The sequence below is a fragment of the Homo sapiens genome, chromosome 22 (genome assembly GCF_000001405.40).
Source record: "Homo sapiens chromosome 22, GRCh38.p14 Primary Assembly".
In the NCBI taxonomy this organism is placed as follows: domain Eukaryota; kingdom Metazoa; phylum Chordata; class Mammalia; order Primates; family Hominidae; genus Homo; species Homo sapiens.
Window position 1 is genome coordinate 21,452,705 of NC_000022.11, and position 19,798 is coordinate 21,472,502.

Below are 19,798 nucleotides of genomic sequence, written 5' to 3' on the forward strand. Positions count from 1 at the left end.
AACTTCTGGCTTTAAGTGAGCCTCTTGGCCTCCCAGCATGCTGGGATTACAGGTGTGAGCCACTGCCTCTGGCTGCCAGATAGTAAATATTTCAGGCTCTACAGGTAACACCATCTCTGTTGTGACTACTCAGCCTTCTGTCATAGTGCAAAAGTAGCCATCAGTGGGGCCAGGCGCAATGGCTCACGCCTATAATCCCAGCACTTTGGGAGGCCAAGGTGGGTGGATCACCAGAGGTCAGGAGTTCCAGACCAGCCTGGCCAACATGGTGAAACCCCTTTTCTACTAAAAATACAAACAACAACAACAACAAAAAACTAGCCAGGTGTGGTGGTGGGTGCCTGTAATCCCAGCTACTCGGGAGGCTGAGACAGGGGAATCTCTTAAATCCAGGAGGCAGAGATTGCAGTGACCTGAGATTGTGCCATTACACTGTAGCCTGGATGACAAGAGTGAAACTCTGTCTCAAAAACAAGACAAAAATTAGCTGGGCATGGTTGTGGGTGCCTGAATTCCATCTAGGCAGGAGAATTGCTTGAACCCAGGAGGCGGAGGTTGCAGTGAGCCGAGATCACGCCATTGCATTCCAGCCTGGGCGACCAGCAAAACTCTTAAAAAAAAAAAAAAGTAGCCACCAATGATATGTAAGCAGATGAGCATGGATATATTCCAGTAAAACTTCATTTATGGCCAGGCACGGTGGCTCATGTCTACAATCCCAGCACTTTGGGAGGCTGAGGCGGGTGGATCACCAGAGGTCAGGAGTTCGAGACCAGCCTGGCAAGATGGTGAAACCCCGTCTTTACAAAAAAAATACAAAAAATTAGCTGGGCTGCCGGGTGCGTTGGCTCACACCTGTAATCCCAGCACTTTGGGAGGCTTAGGCGGCTGGATCACGAGGTCAGGAGATCGAGGCCATCCTGGCTAACATGGTGAAACCCCGTCTCTACTAAAATACAAAAAATTAGCTGGGGGTGGTGGCACGCCTCTGTAGTCCCAGCTCCTTAGGAGGCTGAGGCAGGGGAATCGCTTGAACCCGGGAGGCAGAGGTTGCAGTGGGCCGAGATTGTGCCACTGCACTCCAGCCTGGGCGACGGAGCGAGCCTCCGTCTCAAAAAAAAAACCTTGCTTCTTTGCCAAGCGTGATGGCTCACACCTGTAATCACAGCACTATGGGAGGCCCGAGGTGGGCTGATCACCTGAGGTCAGGAGTTCAAGACTAGCCTGGTCAACGTGGCGAAACCCTATCTCTATTAAAAATACAGAAAGCAGCCAGACATTGTGGTGGGCACCTGTAATCCCAGCTACTCGGGAGGCTGAGGCAGGAGAATTACTTGAACCCGGGAGGCAGAGGTTGCAGTGAGCCAAGATCGTGCCACTGCACTCCAGCCTGGGCAACAGAGTGAGACACCTGTCTCAAAACAAAAACAAAAACCAGCTTTTCAGCCAGGTGAGGTGAATGCATCTATAGTCCCAGCTACTCAGGAGGCAGAGGCAGAAAGCTCCCTTGAGCCCCAGGAGTTTGAGGCTGCAGTGAGCCATGACTGCATTACTGCACTCCAGCCCGGGCAACAGAGTGAGACTCTCTTTTTTTTTTTTTTTTTTTTTTTGAGACAGAATCTCGCTCTGTCACCCAGGCTGGAGTGCAGTGGCACGATCTCAGCTCACTGCAAGCTCTGCCCCCCAGGTTCATGCCATTCTTCTGCCTCAGCCTCCCAAGTAGCTGGGACTACAGGCGCCTGCCACCACGCCCGGCTAATTTTTTTGTATTTTTAGTAGAGACGGAGTTTCACCGTGTTTGCCAGCATGGTCTCGATCTCCTGACCTCGTGATCCACCCACCTCGGCCTCCCGAAGTGCTGGGATAACAGGCATGAGCCACTGCTCCCAGCCAAGACTCTATCTTTAAAAGAAAAAAAAATAAGTCGTTTTCCAAAAGCCATTTGAGGTGGATTGCAGTAAAAGTCTTCTATGGAGTGGAGAATGTTTGACACAGTAAAAGAACAGGAATAGGAGAAAGCTGCCATGCTTTCCAGGGGGCTAAAATGTGTGGCTGAGCATCCTATTTGGCTCTGCGTGCCCAAGGTGTCCCTCTGCCCTGCTCCCAAAAAGAGGAGGGATGTGAAAAAGCAAAGGTCGGGAAGTGGGAATTGGAGGTGGTTTTCATCTTAGTACAAAAGGAAGTGTCCCCATGCTAAATATTCCAAGAAATGTTTCCCACAGGACTTACTTTTTTTTCTTTTTTTCCGAGACTGACTATCACTCTGTTGCCCAGGCTGGAGTGCAGTGGCGCAATCTTGGCTCACTGCAACCTCCGCCTCCCAGGTTCAAGCAATTCTCCTGCCTCAGCCTCCCGACTACCTGGGACTACAGGTGCGTGCCACCATGCCCAGCTAATTTTTGTATTTTTAGTGGAGACGGGGTTTCACCACATTGGCCAGGCTGGTCTCGAACTCCTGACTTCAGGATTTGCCGACCTCAGCTTCTGAAAGTGCTGAGATTACAGGCGTGAGCCACCGTGCCCAGCCTCCAATAGGACTTTGTAAAGGACATTCACTAAGTTGCACAGCAAATGTAGAAGGAAGCTTGTGAAAGGCTTTTTCTCGAAATGACCTGGGTAAAATCAGACTGTGTCATTAAAGGTCCCTGGTGTTGTGCTGTAAAATGTTACTTTTGCCAGTGGCAGGATGCTGCCCCTGCCTCCACCGTGCTGTAAGGTAGTGTGCAGCATCCATACTGATCACCTTTCCACAATCGCGTAAGAGTGTGTGGACACGTGTAAGCCCTAGGCTTGGGTGGCTGGGACTTGGTCTTGCAGCCCCCTGGCCTGGGCCGCATTCATCTGTCCACCCACGCGGCACAGGCCGGACTTACCCTTTCCACTGCTCCAGGCTGGGGCGGAAAGAGCCAACGGGGAGGTGGCAGGAAGCCCCCCACAGAGCAGGAAGCTGCACAGACCCCATGCTGAAGGAAGAAGTCATCAAGGGGCCACATGGGGACCAGGGTTGGGAAAGGCAGGCAGGGCTGCAGGCTCCCTAGGAGGCCAGAACTGGCCAGGGGTGCAGCAGCCGAGGCCTCTCCCTGCAGTGCCAGGCTGCGTCCTTTCCCACGCAAAGGCTAGCCTCTGTGCTGTGGAGACCAGACGGGAGGCTGGAGGGCCTTGGTGGCAGTGTAAGAGGCTGGGCCACCAGCAGGGCCCAGGTGTCTTTCTCAGTGCGCCTGGTGCTACCAAGAACCGTGCCCTGGGCAGATGGCTGAGGAGCGCTCACCTGTCCCTGTGCCCAGACACTTTCTGAGCCAGGTGGCCTCCCCTAATGCCGCTGACCAGTGGATTTAAGAAAATGTCGGCCCCCATGGCCAGGTGCAGTGGCTCATATCTGTAATCCCAGCACTTTGGGAGGCCGAGTTGGGCAGATCACTTGAGGTCAGGAGTTCAAGACCAGCCTGGCCAACATGGCGAAACCCCATCTCTACTTAAAATACAAAAAATTAGCCAGGCATGGTGTCAGGCACCTGTAATCCCAGCTACTTGGGAGGCTGAGGCAGGAGAATTGCTTGAACCCAGGTGGCAGAAGTTGCAGTGAGCTGAGATTGCGCCACTGCACTCCGCCCTGGGCGACATGGCAAGACTCCATGTCAAAAAAAAAAACAAAAAAACAAAAAAACTCAGTCCCCAGCGATTTTGGGATTTGGAATTTTTGCCTATTCATGTTCAGCTCCTCTTTCTGGCCAAGGTAACAATGAGTTGCCTCCTGCAGGGTCCCTGCTGTGAAATCAGGCCATCCCGTGCTTCTCGATCAGCAGGCCGCACCTCCAGGTCAGCTGAAAGGAGCCCAGAGCATTTGAATCCCAGCCCCAACTGGCAGCGGCCTTTGCCTTGGACAGATGCCATGTCTCTGAGGTGCAGACGGGCTGGCTCTCCATTCAGGTGTCAGAGCATTTGAGTGTGTGTGGTTTTCCAAGCCCTGGGTTTGTCAATGGAGGGAAAGGTGCACAAGATGTGGTCCGTGAGCTCTTGGATCCTAGAATGCTTGGGGAAGACAGGCCAGCCTCGGAGGCTCAGCCTGTGGTCCCAGCTACCTGGGGAGGCTGAAGTGGGAGGATTGCTTGAGCCTGGGAGGTGGAGGCTGCAGTAAGCTAGGATTATGCTACTGCACTCCAACCTGGATGACAGAGTGAGACCCTATCTCAAAAAAATAAATAAATAAAGGAAAGCATCCTTGGTAGTGCTGAGTGCTGTGGGGACACTGTTGCAATTGGGGATGAGTGGCCTGGGAAGGCTTCCCAAGAAATGGCATTAGGGTGAGGCCATAGGAAGTGAGGGAGGGGCTAGGCAGAGGAATGAGCAGGCACAGAGGCCTGTAGCAGCAGACTGCACAGCGGCAGGAGCGGTCCTGGCGGCGCCGGGCCTAGGAGCCATGTTGGGGTTTGGACTTGTGCTCTCTGAAGGTCTGAGAGGCCCTACTGGCTGCTGGAGGAAGACAAGGTGGGGGCAGCCAGGCTCCTTAGGAGCTCTCGGAATGGTGCAGTCCAGAGCCATAGTGTTGAAGGTGGTAAGCAGGGGTCAGAACTTGGAGGTTCACATTTTATTTAAAGCTGTTTAGTGAGCACTTGTGAGTCACTGACACTTTGTAAACATCAGCTCGTTTACTCTGTGTGGCAATCAGGCTGAGGTGGACAGCATCTCCTGAGGAAGTAAGGTGCAGATGGGCCAGCAGTTTGCAATGGAAGAGCTCGAGGGCTTGGGGACAGGCTGGAGGAAGGGTGTGAGGCGGAGGGGAGGTAAGGAGAGCATCAGGGTTTCTACGCCTACACGGAAGAGTGGGAGAAGAGCAGGACTCACCCAGGGAGCCGTGGGGGTGCCGCGTTGAAGAGGAATGGCTGCGAGGCCAGAGGGGACAGTGTCCAGGAGCGCAAGGGTCACTTGGCTGAGTGTGGCAAGTGGGCAAGTCAGGGACAGCTGACCCCCAATAATGCTAAAACAAAAATCAATAAGTGCGTAAATAAAACACAGTTCATTCTGGCTGTAGTGGAAAAATGGCTGAGGTCCGTGAGGCTGGCAGGGCCCGAAGGCTGGAGGACTTTGACTGCCCTAGGCAAGGATTTTGGATTTTATTATTATTTTTTTTTACTGTTTCTTTTTTTTTTGAGATGGAGTCTTGCTCTGTCTCCCAGGCTGGAGTGCAGTGGTGCGATCTCGGCTCACTGCAAGCTCCACCCCCCGCGTTCACGCCATTCTCCTGCCTCAGCCTCCCGAGTAGCTGGGACTACAGGCGCCCACCACCACGCCCGGCTACTTTTTTTTGTAGTTTTAGTAGAGACGGGGTTTCACCGTGTTAGCCAGGATGGTCTCGATCTCCTGACCTCGTGATCCACCTGCCTCAGCCTCCCAAAGTGTTGGGATTACAGGCGTGAGCCACCGCACCTGGTGTTTTTTTTTTGTTTGTTTGTTTGTTTTTTTTGAGACGGAGTCTCCCTCTATCACCCAGGCTGGAGTGCAGTGGCACGATCCCGGCTCACTACAACCTCTGCCTCCTGGGTTCAAGCGATTCTCCTGCCTCGGCCTCCCAAGTAGCTGGGACTATAGGCGCCCACCACCACGCCTGGCTAATTTTTGTATTTTTAATAGAGACAGGGTTTCACTGTGTTGGCCAGGCTGGTCTTGAACTCCTGACCTCGGGATCCACCCACCTCGGCCTCCCAAAGTGCTGGGATTACAGGAGTGAGCCACCGCATCCAGCCCCTATTTCTTTTTAAGACACGGTCATGATTCATTGCCCAGGCTGGAGTGCAGTGGCACGATCACGGCTCACTTCAGCCTCACACTCCTGGGCTCAAGCAGTCTTCCTGCCTCAACCTCTTGAGTAGCTGGGACTACAGGAATGCCGCACCACACCTGGCTAATTTAATTTTTTTTTTTTTTTTTTTGTAGAGGTCTCACTATATTGCCTAGGCTGGTCTTGAACTCTTGGGTTCAAGCAGTCCTCCCACCTCAGACTCCCAAAGTGTTGGGATTACAGTTGTGAACAACCATGCCCAACCAGATTTTATTTTTATTTTTATTTTTGAGACAGGGTCTCACTCTATCACCCAGGCTAGAGTACAGTGGTATGTTCACGGCTCACTGCAGCCTTGACTTCCTGGGCTAAGTAATCCTCCCACTTTAGCCTCCCTAGTAGCTGGGACTACAGGCACACACACCATGCCCAGCTTTTTATTTTTTTATTTTTTGATTTTTTGTAGAGATGAAGTTTTGCCATGTTGCTCAGGCTGGTCTGAAACTCCTGGGCTCAAGCGATCTGCCTGCCTCAGCCTCCCAAAATGTGGGGATTTCAGGGGTGAGTCACCACACCTGGCCCAGATTTTATTATTTAAGTTAATATTTTGTTACCATTGCTTAAAGCCACCTGGTCCTTTTCATCAGATAGTTTCTTACAGCCAGGCACAGTGGCTCACACCTGTAATCCCAGCACTCTGGGAGGCTGAGACAGGTGAATTGCTTGAGCCCTGGAGTCTGAGACCAGCCTAGGCAACACAGTGCAACCATGTCTCTACTAAAAGTTTTGGTCTCGATCTACTGACCCCGTGATCCGCCCGCCTTGGCCTTTCAAAGTGCTGGGATTACAGGCGTGAGCCACCGCGCCGGCCTAAATATTTTTTTTTAATTAGCTGGGTGTGATTGAGGCTGGGCACTGTGGCTCACGCCTGTAATCCTAGCACTCTGGGAGGCAGGTGGATTGCCTGAGCTCAGGAGTTCAAGGCCAGCCTGGGCAACATGGCGAATCCTCGTCTCTACTAAAAATACAAAAAAAAAAAAAAAAAAAATTGGCCAGGTGCAGTGGCTCACGCCTGTAATCCCAGCACTTTGGGAGGCCAAGGCGGGTGGATTACCTGAGGTCAAGAGTTCAAGACCAGCCTGGCCAACATGGTGAAACCCTATCTCTACTAAAAAATACAAAAATTAGCTGGGTGGTGGCGGGTGCCTGTAATACTGGGTACTCGGGAGGCTGAGACAGGAGAATTGCTTGAACCCAGGAGGTAGAGGTTGCAGTGAACCGAGATCACGCCATTGCACTCCAGCCTGGGCAACAAGAGCGAAACTCCGTCTCAAAAAAAATTAGCTGGGTATGGTGGCATGTGCCTGTAATCCCAGCTGCTTTGGGGGCTGAGGCATGAGAATTGCTTGAACCGGAAGGCAGAAGTTGCAGTGAGCCAAGATCGTGCCACTGCACTCCAGCCTGGGCAACAGAGTAAGATTATCCAAAAAGAAAAAAAAAAAATTAGCGGGTGTGGCTACACCTGTAGTCCCAGCTATGTGGGAGGCTGAAGTAGGAGGATCGCTTGAGTCCAGGTGGTGGAGGCTGCAGTGAGCTATGATTGTGTGACCGCACTCCAGCCTGGGTGACAGAGCCAGACCCTGTCTCAAAAAGAAAAGGGTCATGATGCTTCCCCAACAGGATATGGTGGGGACGCTCCAAGACCATGGGAGAAGAGGATACGAGCCGGAGCTATGGAAGAAGTGAACATGTAAGACTCCAGAGGCAAACTGCCCGTCTAGACAGCTCTGGCCTGCAGAGCCCACCACTCCCAGGCCAGCGCCGTGAGGTCCTGTTGAGCCACCCACCTCACTGTGATCATCCCCAGGTAAACCCTCGGACGTGGGCCCGGTGCCCTCCTTGCTGAGGCTGAAGCCACGTGGCCATGAAAACCTGAGCATCACAAGCCGCTCTCTGCGTTTGTGGTGTGATCAGGGCCTTCTACCACAAGCCATGTGCCCAGGCTGATCCTCTCTAATGTGGAGAGGCGGCTGCGCTGGAAAGGCCTCAGTAAGAGCAGCTGGGCCCTTGCAGACAGACATCACGGTGTGACCCTCGGGACTGGCTCCCTGCGGCCACTGCAGCACAGGTGTTCACATCTCACAGTGGAGGCAGTGGACACCATGCTCGCCTGCAGGCTCTCGGCGAGGCTCTGAGTCTGGCCCCTTGCGTAGCCCCTGGTGACTCCTTGGCTTCTGGAGCGGAACTCCATCCTTCACATGGCGCTTTCCTCGAGGGCCTGTGTGCGTGTCGTCTGTGGCCAAGTTCCTACTTCATAAGGACATCAGTCATATTGGATGGGGTCCCACCCTGCTCCAATGAGACCCCATCTTTTTTTTTTTTTTTTTTTTTGAGACAGAGTCTTGCTCTGTGGCCCAGGAGGGAGTGCAGTGGCACGATCTTGGCTCACTGCAAGCTCCGCCTCCTGGGTTCACGCCATTCCCCTGCCTCAACCTCCCAAGGAGCTGGGACTACAGGCGCTCGCCACTGCACCCGGCTAATTTTTTGTATTGTTAGTGGAGACGGGGTTTCACTGTGTTAGCCAGGATGGTCTTGATCTCCTGACCTTGTGATCCACCCTCCTCGGCCTCCCAAAGTGCTGGGATTACAGGCATGAGCCACCGCGCCCGGCTGAGACCCCATCTTAATCACACCTGCAGTGACCCTGTTTTCAAGTTAAGGCCACATTCTGAGGTATTGAAAATTAGGACTCCAATATGAATTCGGGGGGACCCAATTTAACCTGTAATATGTATATCCCAAATGCAATTTTCTCCTTTTTTCTTTTAGACAGTTGCTCTGTCACCCAGGCTGGAGTGTAGCTCTTGGCTCACTGCCTCTGCTTCCCGGGCTCCCGCAATCCTCCACCTCAGCCTCCTGAGTAGCTGGGACCACAGGCGCACACCACCACACCCAGCTAATTTTTGTATTTTTGATAGAGATGAGGTTATGCCATGTTGCCCAGACTGGTCTTGAACTCCTGAGCTCAAGAGATGCACTCACCTCAACCTCCCAAAGTGCTGGGATTACAGGTATGAGCCAGCATGCCTGGCCTCCAAATGAAATTTTCAGAAAGGCCTTTTCATAATAGTAACGGGAAACAAGTGACATAGGCATAGCCTTGATAAATGTGCCAAAAGCCCATTTGGAAATAGCACATTTGTAGGAGGCCTGAGGCAAGACTTGTGGGATTGGACGGGAATGCTCTGTTCCTGGGACCAATACCTGATGATGGAGAGTGTCCATTCTTCCCTTTAAAATTTTTATTTTAATATTTTATTTTTAAAAAGGGGTCTTGCTATGTTGCCCTGGCTGGTCTGGAAGTCCTAGGATCAAGTGGTCCTCCCACCTTGGCCTCCCAAAGTGCTGGGATTACAGGTGTGAGCCACTGTGCCCAGCCCATTCTTCCCTTTTAATATATACGCTTCACATACAGGCTTTGTTTTTGCAACTCCTATCAAATCCCAACAATGTATTTGGGAGAATTTGACAAGACAGTTCTAAAGTTTATCTGAAAGAGAAGCAGCAGATCCTAAATGGCTTTCCCCAGGCCCAGCACTGGCAGATAGCACCTTTCTAACCTTCGGGTGTGAATCCAAGGGTGGTGGTGGAGCTTCAGGACACATGCACCCTCGTGTCCCTCCTCTATGTAAATGGAAGCCTTCAGTGCCAGCTCCTTTAGGTTGTAAGGACTGAACACGCTCACAGAAGTCGTGTGCACAGTGAGGTGGGGGCTGAAATGCAGCAGCTCCTCTCCCTGTGTTCTGTCCCCGCCCCACCTCTCCCCCACCTCAACTTTGACCACTAGGGGACCAATTATAACATGAGATGGCAAGAATAGCTCATGTAAAGCCACCCCACCCCAGTCACCTGGTTGCTGCATAGTGTCACATTCATAGGAGTACAATTTAGTCACTAGTAATCCTTTGCGAATAATACAAACGTCCAGTAATTCTTTGCTGCATAACAGGCCTTGTGCTCAAAAGGTTCTGCAGACCTTGCCTGGGTGCTCTGGCCAAGCTGCAGTCATCCCAGGGCTGGCTGGGGGCTGGGGGTTTGCCGGCATGCCTGCTGGTTGGTGCTGCTGCCAGTCCCAGCTACTCGGGAGGCCGAGGTACGGGGACGGCTTGGTCTCAGGAGGTTAAGGCCGCAGTGAGCCATGATCGTGCTATTGCACTCTGGCCTGGGCAACCAAGCAAGACTCTGTCTCAGAAAAAAAAAAAAAATAAGGGGGTGAGAGGGGCTATAAAGGCTCTGAGGTCCACGCTCTGGAGGCCCACAAAGTCTTTTCTGCATCATCTTGTTTGTCAGAGCAAGACCCAAGGGTGAGCCTAGATTCCTGAGCTGGGGAAACAGGCTCCACCTACTGGTGGTGAGAACTGTAGACAATCTGTGGTCGTTTTGAGTCCACTATAAGTAACCAAAATACCTTCAGTCTTGCTTGCATTTCTCAACATTAGTGAAAGGGGACCCAGTGCTTGGTTGTAGCAGGCGTCCTAAACTCTCCTTCTGACCTGCAGAGTTTTCATCTGCAGAATGTCCCCTCCTGGTGCACAGCATTCATGTCCCTTGTCCTCATCCCTGGTGGGTGCTCTCGCCGCCTCCTTTCTGATCCCATCCTCCTCCTTGTCCTACCAACCGTCTGTACTCACCCTGTGTATTTAGTTTATATAAATGTTAATGCCTGGCCAGCCGTGGTGGCTCACGCCTGTAATCCCAGCACTCTGGGAGGCTGAGGCGGGCGGATCACCTGAGGTCAGAAGTTCGAGACCAGCCTGGCCAACATGGTGAAACCCCGTTTCTACTAAAAATACAAAAAATTAGCTGGGCATGGTGGCGAGTGCCTGTAATCCCAACTACTCGGGAGACTGAGGCAGGAGAATTGCTTGAACCCTGGAGGCGGAGGTTGCGGTGAGCTGAGATCATACCATTGCACTCCAGCTTGGGCCACAAGAGTGAAACTCTGTCTCAAAAATAAAAAAATTAAAAATAAATGTTAACACCTGTAGTCCCAGTGCTTTGGGAGGTCAAGGCAGGAGGATCACTTTAGCACAGGAGGTCGAGGCTGCAGTGAGCTGGGATGGCGCTACTGCTCCCCAGCCCGGGCAACAGAGTGAGACTCGATCTCAAAAAAAAAAAAAAAAAAAAAGACCAGCGGGGGTGGTTCATGCCTGTAATCCCAGCATTTTGGGAGGCCAAGGTGAGTGGATCACTTGAGCCCAGGAGTTTGAGACCAGCCTGGTCAACATAGTGAGACTTCATTTCTACAAAAAAATAATCAGCCATGCTGTAGTCCCAGCTACTGGGGGTGCTGAGGTGGGAGGATTCCTTGAGCCCAGGATTTCAAGACCGCAGTGAGCTAGGATCAAGCCACTGAAGTTCAGCCTGGGTGACAGAGCAAGATCCTTTCTCTCTAACAAAAAATTAAAATTAAAAAATATTGGCCAGGTGTGGTGGCTCACGCCTGTAATCCCAGTAACTTTGGGAGGCTGAGGCAGGTGGATCATTCGAGGTCAGGAGTTCGAGACCAGCCTGACCAACATAATGAAACCCTATCTCTACTGAAAATACAAGGATTAGCCAGACGTGGTGGTGGGCGTCTGTAGTCCAGCTACTTGAGAGGCTGAGGCAGGAGAATCACTTGAACCACCACGCCCAACCTAATTTTTTTTTTTGTTGTTGTTGTTAGTAGAGGCAGGGTTTCACCATGTTGGCCAGGCTCATCTTGAACTCCTGACCTCAAGTGATCCACCTGCCTCAGCCTCCCAAAGTGCTGGGATTACAGGTGTGAGCCACCGCGCCCGATCTGAAGACATTTTTGATTGGTTGATTGAGTTGGGGGTCTCACTGTTGCCCAGGCTGGAGTGTGGTGGCATGATTATAGCTCACTGCAGCCTTAAACTCCCAAGCCCAAGAGATCCTCCCAGCTCAGCCTTCTGAGTAACCGGGACTACAGGTGCACACCAGCACACCCAGCTCATTTTAAATTTTTTCTTTTTTTTTGAGATGGATCTTGCTCTGTCACCCAGGCTGGAGTGCAGTGGCGCAAGCTCCGCTCACTGCAAGCTCCGCCTCCCGGGTTTATGCCATTATCCAGCCTCAGCCTCCCGAGTAGCTGGGACTATAGGCACCCGCCACCACGCCCGGCTAATTTTTTGTATTTTTAGTAGAGACGGGGTTTCACCGTGTTAGCCAGGATGGCCTCGATCAGGAGATCGTCCATCTTGGCCTTCCAAAGTGCCGGGATTGCAGGCGTGAGCCACCGCGCCCGGCCCCGTAGTTTCTTACATGTTCACAAAGAGACAAACTTAAAAGAGCAAAGCATTACGAACTTTAAGAGGCCAGTGCAGGAGGATCACTTGTAGCTAGAATTTTGAGACCATCCAGGGCAACAAAGTGAGACTCTGTCCCTACAAAAAAAATTTTTTTTTTTTTTTTTTTTGAGACAGACTCTCGCTCTGTCGCCCAGGCTAGAGTGCAGTGGCGTGATCTTGGCTCACTGCAACCTCCGCCTCCCGGGTTCACGCCATTCTCCTGCCTCAGCCTCCCGGGTAGCTGGGATTACAGGCACTCGCGACCATGCCCAGCTAATTTTGTATTTTTAGTAGAAATGGGGTTTCACCATGTTGGCCAGGATGGTCTTGATCTCCTGACCTCGTGATCTGCCCTCCTTTGCCTCCCAAAGTGCTGGGATTACAGGCATGAGCCACCGTGGCCAGCCTCTTACTATTTTTTTTTTTTTTTTTAAGATGGAGGCTCACACTGTTGCCCAGGCTGGAGTGCGGTGGCACGATCTCGGCTCACTGCAACCTCCGCCTCCTGGTTTTATGCGATTCTCCTGCCTCAGCCTCCTGAGTAGCTGGGATTATAGGCCACCATGCCCAGCTAATTTTTTGTATTTTTAGTAGAGGTGGGGTTTTACCATGTTGGCCAGGCTGGTCTCAAACTCCAGACCTCAGGTGATCCACCCACCTTGGCCTCCCAAAGTGCTGGGATTACAGGTGTGAACCACTGTGCTTGGCCTTTACTACTACATTTTTTTTTTTTTTGAGATGGAGCCTCCCTCTGTCACCAGGCTGGAGTGCAGTGGTGCAATCTCGGCTCACTGTAACCTCTGCCTCTCGGGTTCGATTCCCCTGCCTCAGCCTCCCGAGTAGGTGGGACTACAGGCAAGCACCACCATACCCGGCTAACTTTTTTTTTTGTATTTTTAGTAAAGACAAGATTTCACCATCTTGGCCAAGCTGGTCTTGAACTCCTGATCTCATGATCCACCCTCCTCGGCCTCCCAAAGTGCTGGGATTACAGGCGTGAGCCACCGTGCCCGGCCGTCTACTACTTCTTAAAGGGTGAGAGGCGGGAGGATCACTTGAGCCCTGAAGTGTGCGGCTGCAGTTAGCTTTGATCGTACCACTGCACTCCAGCCAGGGTGACAGCAGGACCCTGACTCTAAAAAAAAAAAAAAAAGCAAAAAAAAGCATATACTATTAATACTTCCTCCTTACTATAATGTTTACTGTGGCCTTTATCAGACTAGAGAGTGCTTTTATCTCTCCCTTTTGTTAGAGCTTTTAGAATTATCAATAGATGGTCAGGTGAGGTGGCTCAGGCCTGTAATCCCAGCACTTTGGGAGGCCGAGGTGGGTGGATCACGAGGTCAGGAGTTGAAGACCAGCTTGGCCAAGATGGTGAAACCCTGTCTCTACTAAAAATACAAAAAAATTAGCTGGGCGTGGTGGCGAGTGCCTGTAATGCCAGCTACTCTGGAGGCTGGGGCAGAGAATTGCTTGAACCCAGTAGGCGGAGGTTGCAGTGAGCCAAGATTGTGCCACTGCACTCCAGCCTGGGCAACAGAATGAGACTCTGTCTCAGAAAAAAAAAAAATTATTAATAGATGGTGACCCTCATCTTCATGTTTTCTGCATCTATTGAAGTGCGCCATTGAGATCGTGGAGTTCTTCCCTGTTTGTCCATATGGTGAACAACACTGATTTTCTGATGTTGAACAATCTCTGGAATAAACTCTGTTTGGTTTCCATGGATTTCTGTTTCCCTTTAGATTTTGTTAGTAATGTATTTTGGATTTTTGCATCCAAGTTCATAATTGTAACTGGACAAATAAAGGCAGATTTTAAAAGGACAAGTTGGGAGGCTAAGGCGGAAGGATCACTTGAGCCTGGGAGATTGAAGCTGCAGCTAGCTTCGATTGTTCCACTGTACTCCAGCCTGGTGACAGCAGGACCTGCCTCTAAAATAATAATACTTAAAAGGACGAGTTTACCTACAGTCTCACCAAGCAATGAAAGAGCTTATCTTCCTCCTGTTTCCTTTACGGATCTTGCTCATGTATTTTATCTTAGTTACTTTAGCATAAATGCTAAATCAAATTCTTTTTCACTAGACATCATCATAGCTCTAGGCATACCACATAATACCCAAGCACATTTTAATCATTAAAATTGTTTCCTTTTTTTGTGGCTACTGTAACCACTTCAGCGAACCATTTAGTGTGTAGTGGGTTTAAATTATTTTTTCTCCTTTCTGGGATAAATTTCCCAGGAGAAGGATAATTGGGTCAAAAGCTACGAACATATTTATGGGTTCTTTTCCACAAGAGATCGATCAGTTTGCAAGTGCCATCTGCAGTGTGGGGGAACCAATCTTCAACTTGCCTGCATTTGGTATTAGTATTTTATTAACCTTTCATTGATCCAATTACGGCTCTTTGACACAATTTTCATCAGTGATGGACTAAGTGTGATCCGGCCTGACCCGCCTCCGGCCGGCGTGAGAAGGGGCATGTGTCGGGCTACGCTCGGGCTTCCCCTGCCGCCCATTGTGATCCAGCCCGCTAGGCGCTCCCTGCCGCCCATTGTGACGCCTGCCAGCCGCAGGCTGGGTCCCCGAGGCGGGCGGCATTTAGGCTCGGTCTCCACAGCCATGGCCGCGACGCAGGAGCTGCTGCTGCAGTTGCAGAAGGATAACCGAGATGGTCGCCAGCGGAAGCAGGAGCTAGAGAAGCTGATGCGCGGGCTCGAGGCCGAGAGCGAGAGCCTCAACCAGCGCCTGCAGGACCTGAGCGAGCGGGAGCGGAGGTGCGCGGGGAACGCCCCTCTACCTGGCGGGCGCGCGAGGGTCGGTCCCGCAGGCAGCGCCGCGAGGTGCTTCGCAGAGTACCAGGCTGATCCGCCCAGGCCCGCATCTCTGCTCTAGGCCCTTGGGAACGGGTGATCCACCCAGCGGACCCAGGTGGGGGACTCGGCCAGGACTTCCCAGTCCTCAATCATGAGCCTGCGGCTGGTCCTTCCTGGCGACTGCGGGATCCTGAGCGACCCAGTCCGCCTTGTAGCGCCAACCTCAGTTTCCCTCTGCAGCCTGCTGCGGAGGCGAAGCCAGGCAGCGCAGCCTCTGCAAGGGGAGGCGCGCGAGGCGGCGCGGGAGCGCGCGGAGCGGGTGCGCAGAAGACTGGAGGAGGCGGAGCGCCACAAGGAGTACTTGGTGAGGAAGAGTCCTGGAATGGGGCTGGACCCAGGGTGGGGTGGGGCAGGGCGGGCGGAAGGGGGCAGGATCCGGGGGTGGGGTGAGGTAGGACCGGCGGAGAGGTCGGCACCGCCCCAGGACCCCGTCCGCAGGAGCAGCACAGCAGGCAGCTGCAGGAGCAGTGGGAGGAGCTGTCGAGTCAGGTACGTGCAGGAGATGGGAGGGCCTGTCTCTTGGTTCCTCTCGGAAGTCCTGCCCTTGTCCTCGCCCTTGTTGCCTCCCCGTCCCTGTCTCCCCTGACACCCGTTCCTCCAGAAGCCCGGTAAACCCCGCCCTTACAAGCCCCGCCCCTAGCTCTTCTACTACGGAGGGGAACTGCAGAGCCAGAAGAGCACGGAGCAGCAACTCGCAGCCCAATTGGTGACGCTGCAGGTGCTTGAGCGGGACCCTGAGGTGTTTAGTAGGGGCGGAGCAGCAGCATGAGCTGGGCCGTGACCACCTGGGGGTGTGGCTTAAGGCAGGCCCTGAAGGCGTGGGCGGGGCGGGGAATGTGGGCGGAGCACAATCGCATGGGGGCGGGGCTCTGAGGGCTAGAATAGGGGCGGAGCGCGGAGGGGGCGTGGCCATGACCAGCTGGGGCGTTGCTTACGACTGGTCCTGAGGACGCGGGCGGGGTCATGATCGCCTGGGGGCGGGCACTGAGGGCCGGGGGCGGGGCCCGGAGGCGCAGCGGGTTGCCGGCCTGCGGACCTCCTGACATTCCCTGGGTCCTTCTCAAGAATGAACTGGAGCTGGCGGAGACCAAATGCGCCTTGCAGGAGGAGAAGCTGCAGCAGGTGAGGGCAGAAGCGGGTTCTGTTGGAGGAGGGTAGGCTTTCGAGTGTGGATGGGGAAGGGCCTGTCGCCCCGACGCCGCCGAGTCTAACCCGGGTGTCCACACCCAGGACGCGCTGCAGACAGCGGAGGCCTGGGCCATATTCCAGGAGCAGACCGTAGTCCTGCAGGTGCGGCCCCACTCAGACGCCAAGGTGCCTCCCGCCTCTCCTCCCCCAGACCTGGGGCGGTAAGTCTCCCAACCCACCGCCAGGACGCCTCCCCGAGGCCTCAGTCCGCACTCTCACCCGCTCCAGGAGGTGCAGGTGAAGGTGATGGAGGCTGCGGAGGAGCTGGACGCCTGGCAGAGTGGCCGGGAACTGTAAGGGAGTTGGGCCTGCGGGCGCGGCGGGGCACTGTGGGGCCGGGATGGGCTCCCACCTGCATGCCTGTCCCCGCAGGTGTGACGGGCAGCTTCGCGGAGTGCAGTACAGCACCGAATCGCTCATGGAGGAGATGGCCAGGGCGGACCGAGTGAGCGCCTGCGCGGGTCCGGGCGGGGTGGGCTGGAGCGGGACAACCCTCCCCGTCCCCCCCGCGGTACCGCCTCCCCCTCCTCCTGGAAACCGGGCCGGCGCCGCGGGCGCGGAGGTAGCTGGATGCGGCCCTCTCTCCCCGCAGGAGACGCGGCTGTTCGGCGGCCCTCGCGCGCTGGCCATCAGGTGAGCCGGGCGGTGGGCGCGGCCGCGGTCCCCCAGGTGCCCGCCCGAGTTGCCGCCCACCTGCCCGCCTTTCGCCCCGCAGGCGGTGCGTGCTGGGCGCGCTGCAGGTGCTGCTGACGCTGCCGCTCCTCTTCCTGGGGCTGTCGCTGCTCTGGACGGTGCTGTTGGACCCCGGCGCCGTCTCCGCGTGGCTCTGGAGCCTCACCTCGGAGACGACGCTGCGCCGCCTGCGCTACACGCTGTCCCCGCTGCTGGAGCTGCGCGCTAACGGGCTTCTGCCAACCTAAGTGCAGCGCCCCGCGCCTGGCTCCAGGTGGACTCCAGGGCACCTGGCTTTATTTCTGGTGCACTCCTCTCCTGAGAGTGTAGACCAAGGTTGCCTAATAAACTCAAGGGATGAAGCTCGTGGGTTCGTCGTCTGTCTCCCATGTCATGTAGGAGCTTGACTGGCTTTTCAGCCTCCAAAGATTCCTTCCTTCCTTACAGCTCATGGATTTAGAGCCACTCCCCAGTATTGTAAACAGCATTTTTAGTTTTTCAGGATACATAATTTGCCGTATTGCCAGAAACTTGTACATAGCATTTGACACTTTGCCAATCTGACAAGCTGCCTTTTCAAGTATTGTGATTTGAAATTATTTCTACTATATTTGAATTTATTTCTACCATTTGTAACATGTTGATCCTGATTTTTCAATGCTCCCCTTTCCTTCTGTTTATTTGGGAAGTCACACTCTGTATTCTGGTATTCTTACTACTTGAGCTCAGCTCATCGCTGTCATCTTCCCCTAAACCGCCTTAAAGCATCTTAGGTCTTTTCCCTCTGATCACATGTGCTACTTTTTTTTTTCTTTTCTTTGGAGACGGAGTCTTGCTCTGCGCCCAGGATGGAGTGCAGTGGCATGATCTCGGCTCACTGCAAGCTCTGCCTCCCGGGTTCCAGCGATTCTCCTGCCTCAGCCTCCCAAGTAGCTGGGACTTCAGACGCCCGCCATCATGCCCGTTTAATTTTTTGTATTTTTTGTAGAGACAGAGTTTCACTGTGTTAGCCAGGATGGTCTCGATCTCCTGACCTCGTGATCCGCCCACCTTGGCCTCCCCAAAGTGCTGGGATTACAGGCATGAGCCACCGTGCCTGGCCAACATTTTCTCCAGATATCTTACTGAGTCCTAATTTCCACTGTGGCCAGAGAATACACTCTGCATGATTTTAATTCTATCTCATTTACTGAGACTTGTTTTGTGGCCCAGCACAAAGCTTGTAATGAACACTGAGAAGTGTATTGTTGCTGTTGACAGAGTGATTTTTTTTTTTGAGACGGAGTCTCGCTCTGTCGCCAGGCTGGAGTACAGTGGTGTGCAATCTCGGCTCACTCCAACCTCCACCTACTAGGTTCAAGTGATTGTCCTGCCTCAGCCTCCTGAGTAGCTGGGACTACAGATGCATTCCACCATGCCCAGCTAATTTTTGTATTTTTAGCAGAGACAGGGTTTCACCGTGTTGGCCAGGATGGTCTTGATCTCTTGACATTGTGATCCGCCTGGCTTGGCCTCCCAAAGCGCTGGGATTACAGGCATGAGCCACCGTGCCAGGCCAACAGAGTGTGTTCTAAATACCCAGCAGGTCCAGGTGAGTGACAGGCTTGTTCAGGGCTCCTGTGTTTACTTTCTTGTTGGTAGCGCCGTCAATTGCTTATTGTGAAATGCCCCTTCATAAACACCCATACACATTTTGATTATGGATGGCCAGTCTTTTTTCTATCTGTTATTTTCATCTTACATCTGTCTTCATATGTAAAGTGCTTTGGTTATAATCAGCACATAACTGGGTCTCACTTCTTCAATTCATGTTTGTAATCCCTGACTTTTAAATTGGGCTGGTAAGTCTATTATGTTTCTCCTTTTCTGCCTTCTTTTGGATTAGTATCTTTTAAAACTCCTTTTAACTTATACGCTGACTCATATTTTTTATTAAGACAGTCTCACTCTGTCATCCAGTGTGGAGTGCAATGGTGTGATCTTGGCTCACTGCAACCTCCACCTCCCGGGCTCAAGCGATCCACCTCAGCTTCCTGAGTAGCTGGGACTACGGGCTTGTGCCACCATGCCCGGATAATTGTTGTATTTTTTGTAGAGATGGGGTCTTGCCATGTTGCTCAGGCTGTTTTCAAACTGCTGGACTCCAGCAATCCACCCACCTCAGCCTCCGAAAGTGCTGGGATTACACATGTGAGCCACTGTGCCCAGCCTATATTTTTATTTGTACTGCTCAGGACTCAACTGTGCTTCCTAAAGCTGAATATTTGTGTTTTTCAACTCTGGAAATCCCATTAGAAGTTGATTGGGGCCGGGCACGGTGGCTCCAATCTCAGCACTTTGGGAGGCCGAGGCGAGCAGATCACCTGAAGCCAGGAGTTCAAGATCAGCCTGGCCAACATGACGAAACCCCTTCTCTTCTAAAAGTACAAAAATTAATTAGCTGGGTGTGGTGGCGTGCAGCTGAAATCCCAGCTACTTAGGAGGCTGAGGTAGGAGATTTGCTTGAACCTGGGAGACAGGTTGCAGTGAGCAGAGATCACGCCACTGCACTCCAGCCTGGGCGACAGAGTGAGACTCCGACTAAAAAAAAAAGAAAAAGTTGACTGGAGCTTTTCATTCAACTTTTTTTTTTTTTTTGACCCTGTTACCCAGGCTGGAGTGCAGTGGTACCATCATAGCTCACTGGAGTCTTGCTCTTCGGCTCCAGTGATCCTATCTTTCTTACCCTCCTGAGTAGCTGGGACTACAGGCATGCACCACCATGTGGCTAATTTTAAATTTTTTTGTAGAGACAGGGTCTTCCCGTGTTGCTTATGCTGGTGTTGAACTCCTGGACTCAAGCAATCCTCCTGCTTTGGCCTGCTGAAGTGCTGGGATTAGGAGCCACCCCGCTTGGCTTTCCTTTCCTTCACACTGCATGTTTGGTCAT

The 19,798-nt window shown here is 52.8% G+C and overlaps 1 protein-coding gene and 1 pseudogene across 2 annotated transcripts, besides 3 other annotated features; both read left to right on the plus strand.

The window, feature by feature from the left end:
* Window positions 13,704-14,607, plus strand: LOC124908410 (transmembrane protein 191A pseudogene; annotated as a pseudogene).
* Window positions 14,683-17,231, plus strand: TMEM191C (transmembrane protein 191C). 2 transcript variants are annotated; one of them, NM_001388354.1, is made up of 10 exons: window positions 14,683-14,910; window positions 15,190-15,313; window positions 15,448-15,498; window positions 15,650-15,727; window positions 16,075-16,131; window positions 16,240-16,299; window positions 16,426-16,490; window positions 16,570-16,642; window positions 16,790-16,830; window positions 16,913-17,231. In NM_001388354.1, the coding sequence occupies exons 1-10, from the start codon at window positions 14,756-14,758 to the stop codon at window positions 17,115-17,117; spliced, it is 909 nt and encodes a 302-aa protein (NP_001375283.1). In that variant the 5' UTR covers window positions 14,683-14,755; the 3' UTR covers window positions 17,118-17,231. The 2 variants fall into 2 exon arrangements, with proteins under 2 accessions (NP_001375283.1, NP_001193981.2); NM_001207052.2 differs by lacking the exon at window positions 16,426-16,490 and having other exon boundaries at window positions 16,240-16,358.
* Window positions 15,775-16,337: an enhancer, noted in NCBI's record as "H3K4me1 hESC enhancer chr22:21822768-21823330 (GRCh37/hg19 assembly coordinates)". NCBI's record gives its function as "activates a minimal SCP1, AML or CMV promoter by ChIP-STARR-seq in primed H9 embryonic stem cells {active_cell/tissue: H9 hESC(primed)}" and the evidence as "EXISTENCE:reporter gene assay evidence [ECO:0000049][PMID:30033119]".
* Window positions 15,957-16,006: an enhancer, noted in NCBI's record as "active region_18697". NCBI's record gives its function as "activates an Ori minimal core promoter by ATAC-STARR-seq in GM12878 lymphoblastoid cells {active_cell/tissue: GM12878}" and the evidence as "EXISTENCE:reporter gene assay evidence [ECO:0000049][PMID:35858748]".
* Window positions 16,338-16,900: an enhancer, noted in NCBI's record as "H3K4me1 hESC enhancer chr22:21823331-21823893 (GRCh37/hg19 assembly coordinates)". NCBI's record gives its function as "activates a minimal SCP1, AML or CMV promoter by ChIP-STARR-seq in primed H9 embryonic stem cells {active_cell/tissue: H9 hESC(primed)}" and the evidence as "EXISTENCE:reporter gene assay evidence [ECO:0000049][PMID:30033119]".
* Window positions 17,232-19,798: the final 2,567 nt, after the last annotated feature.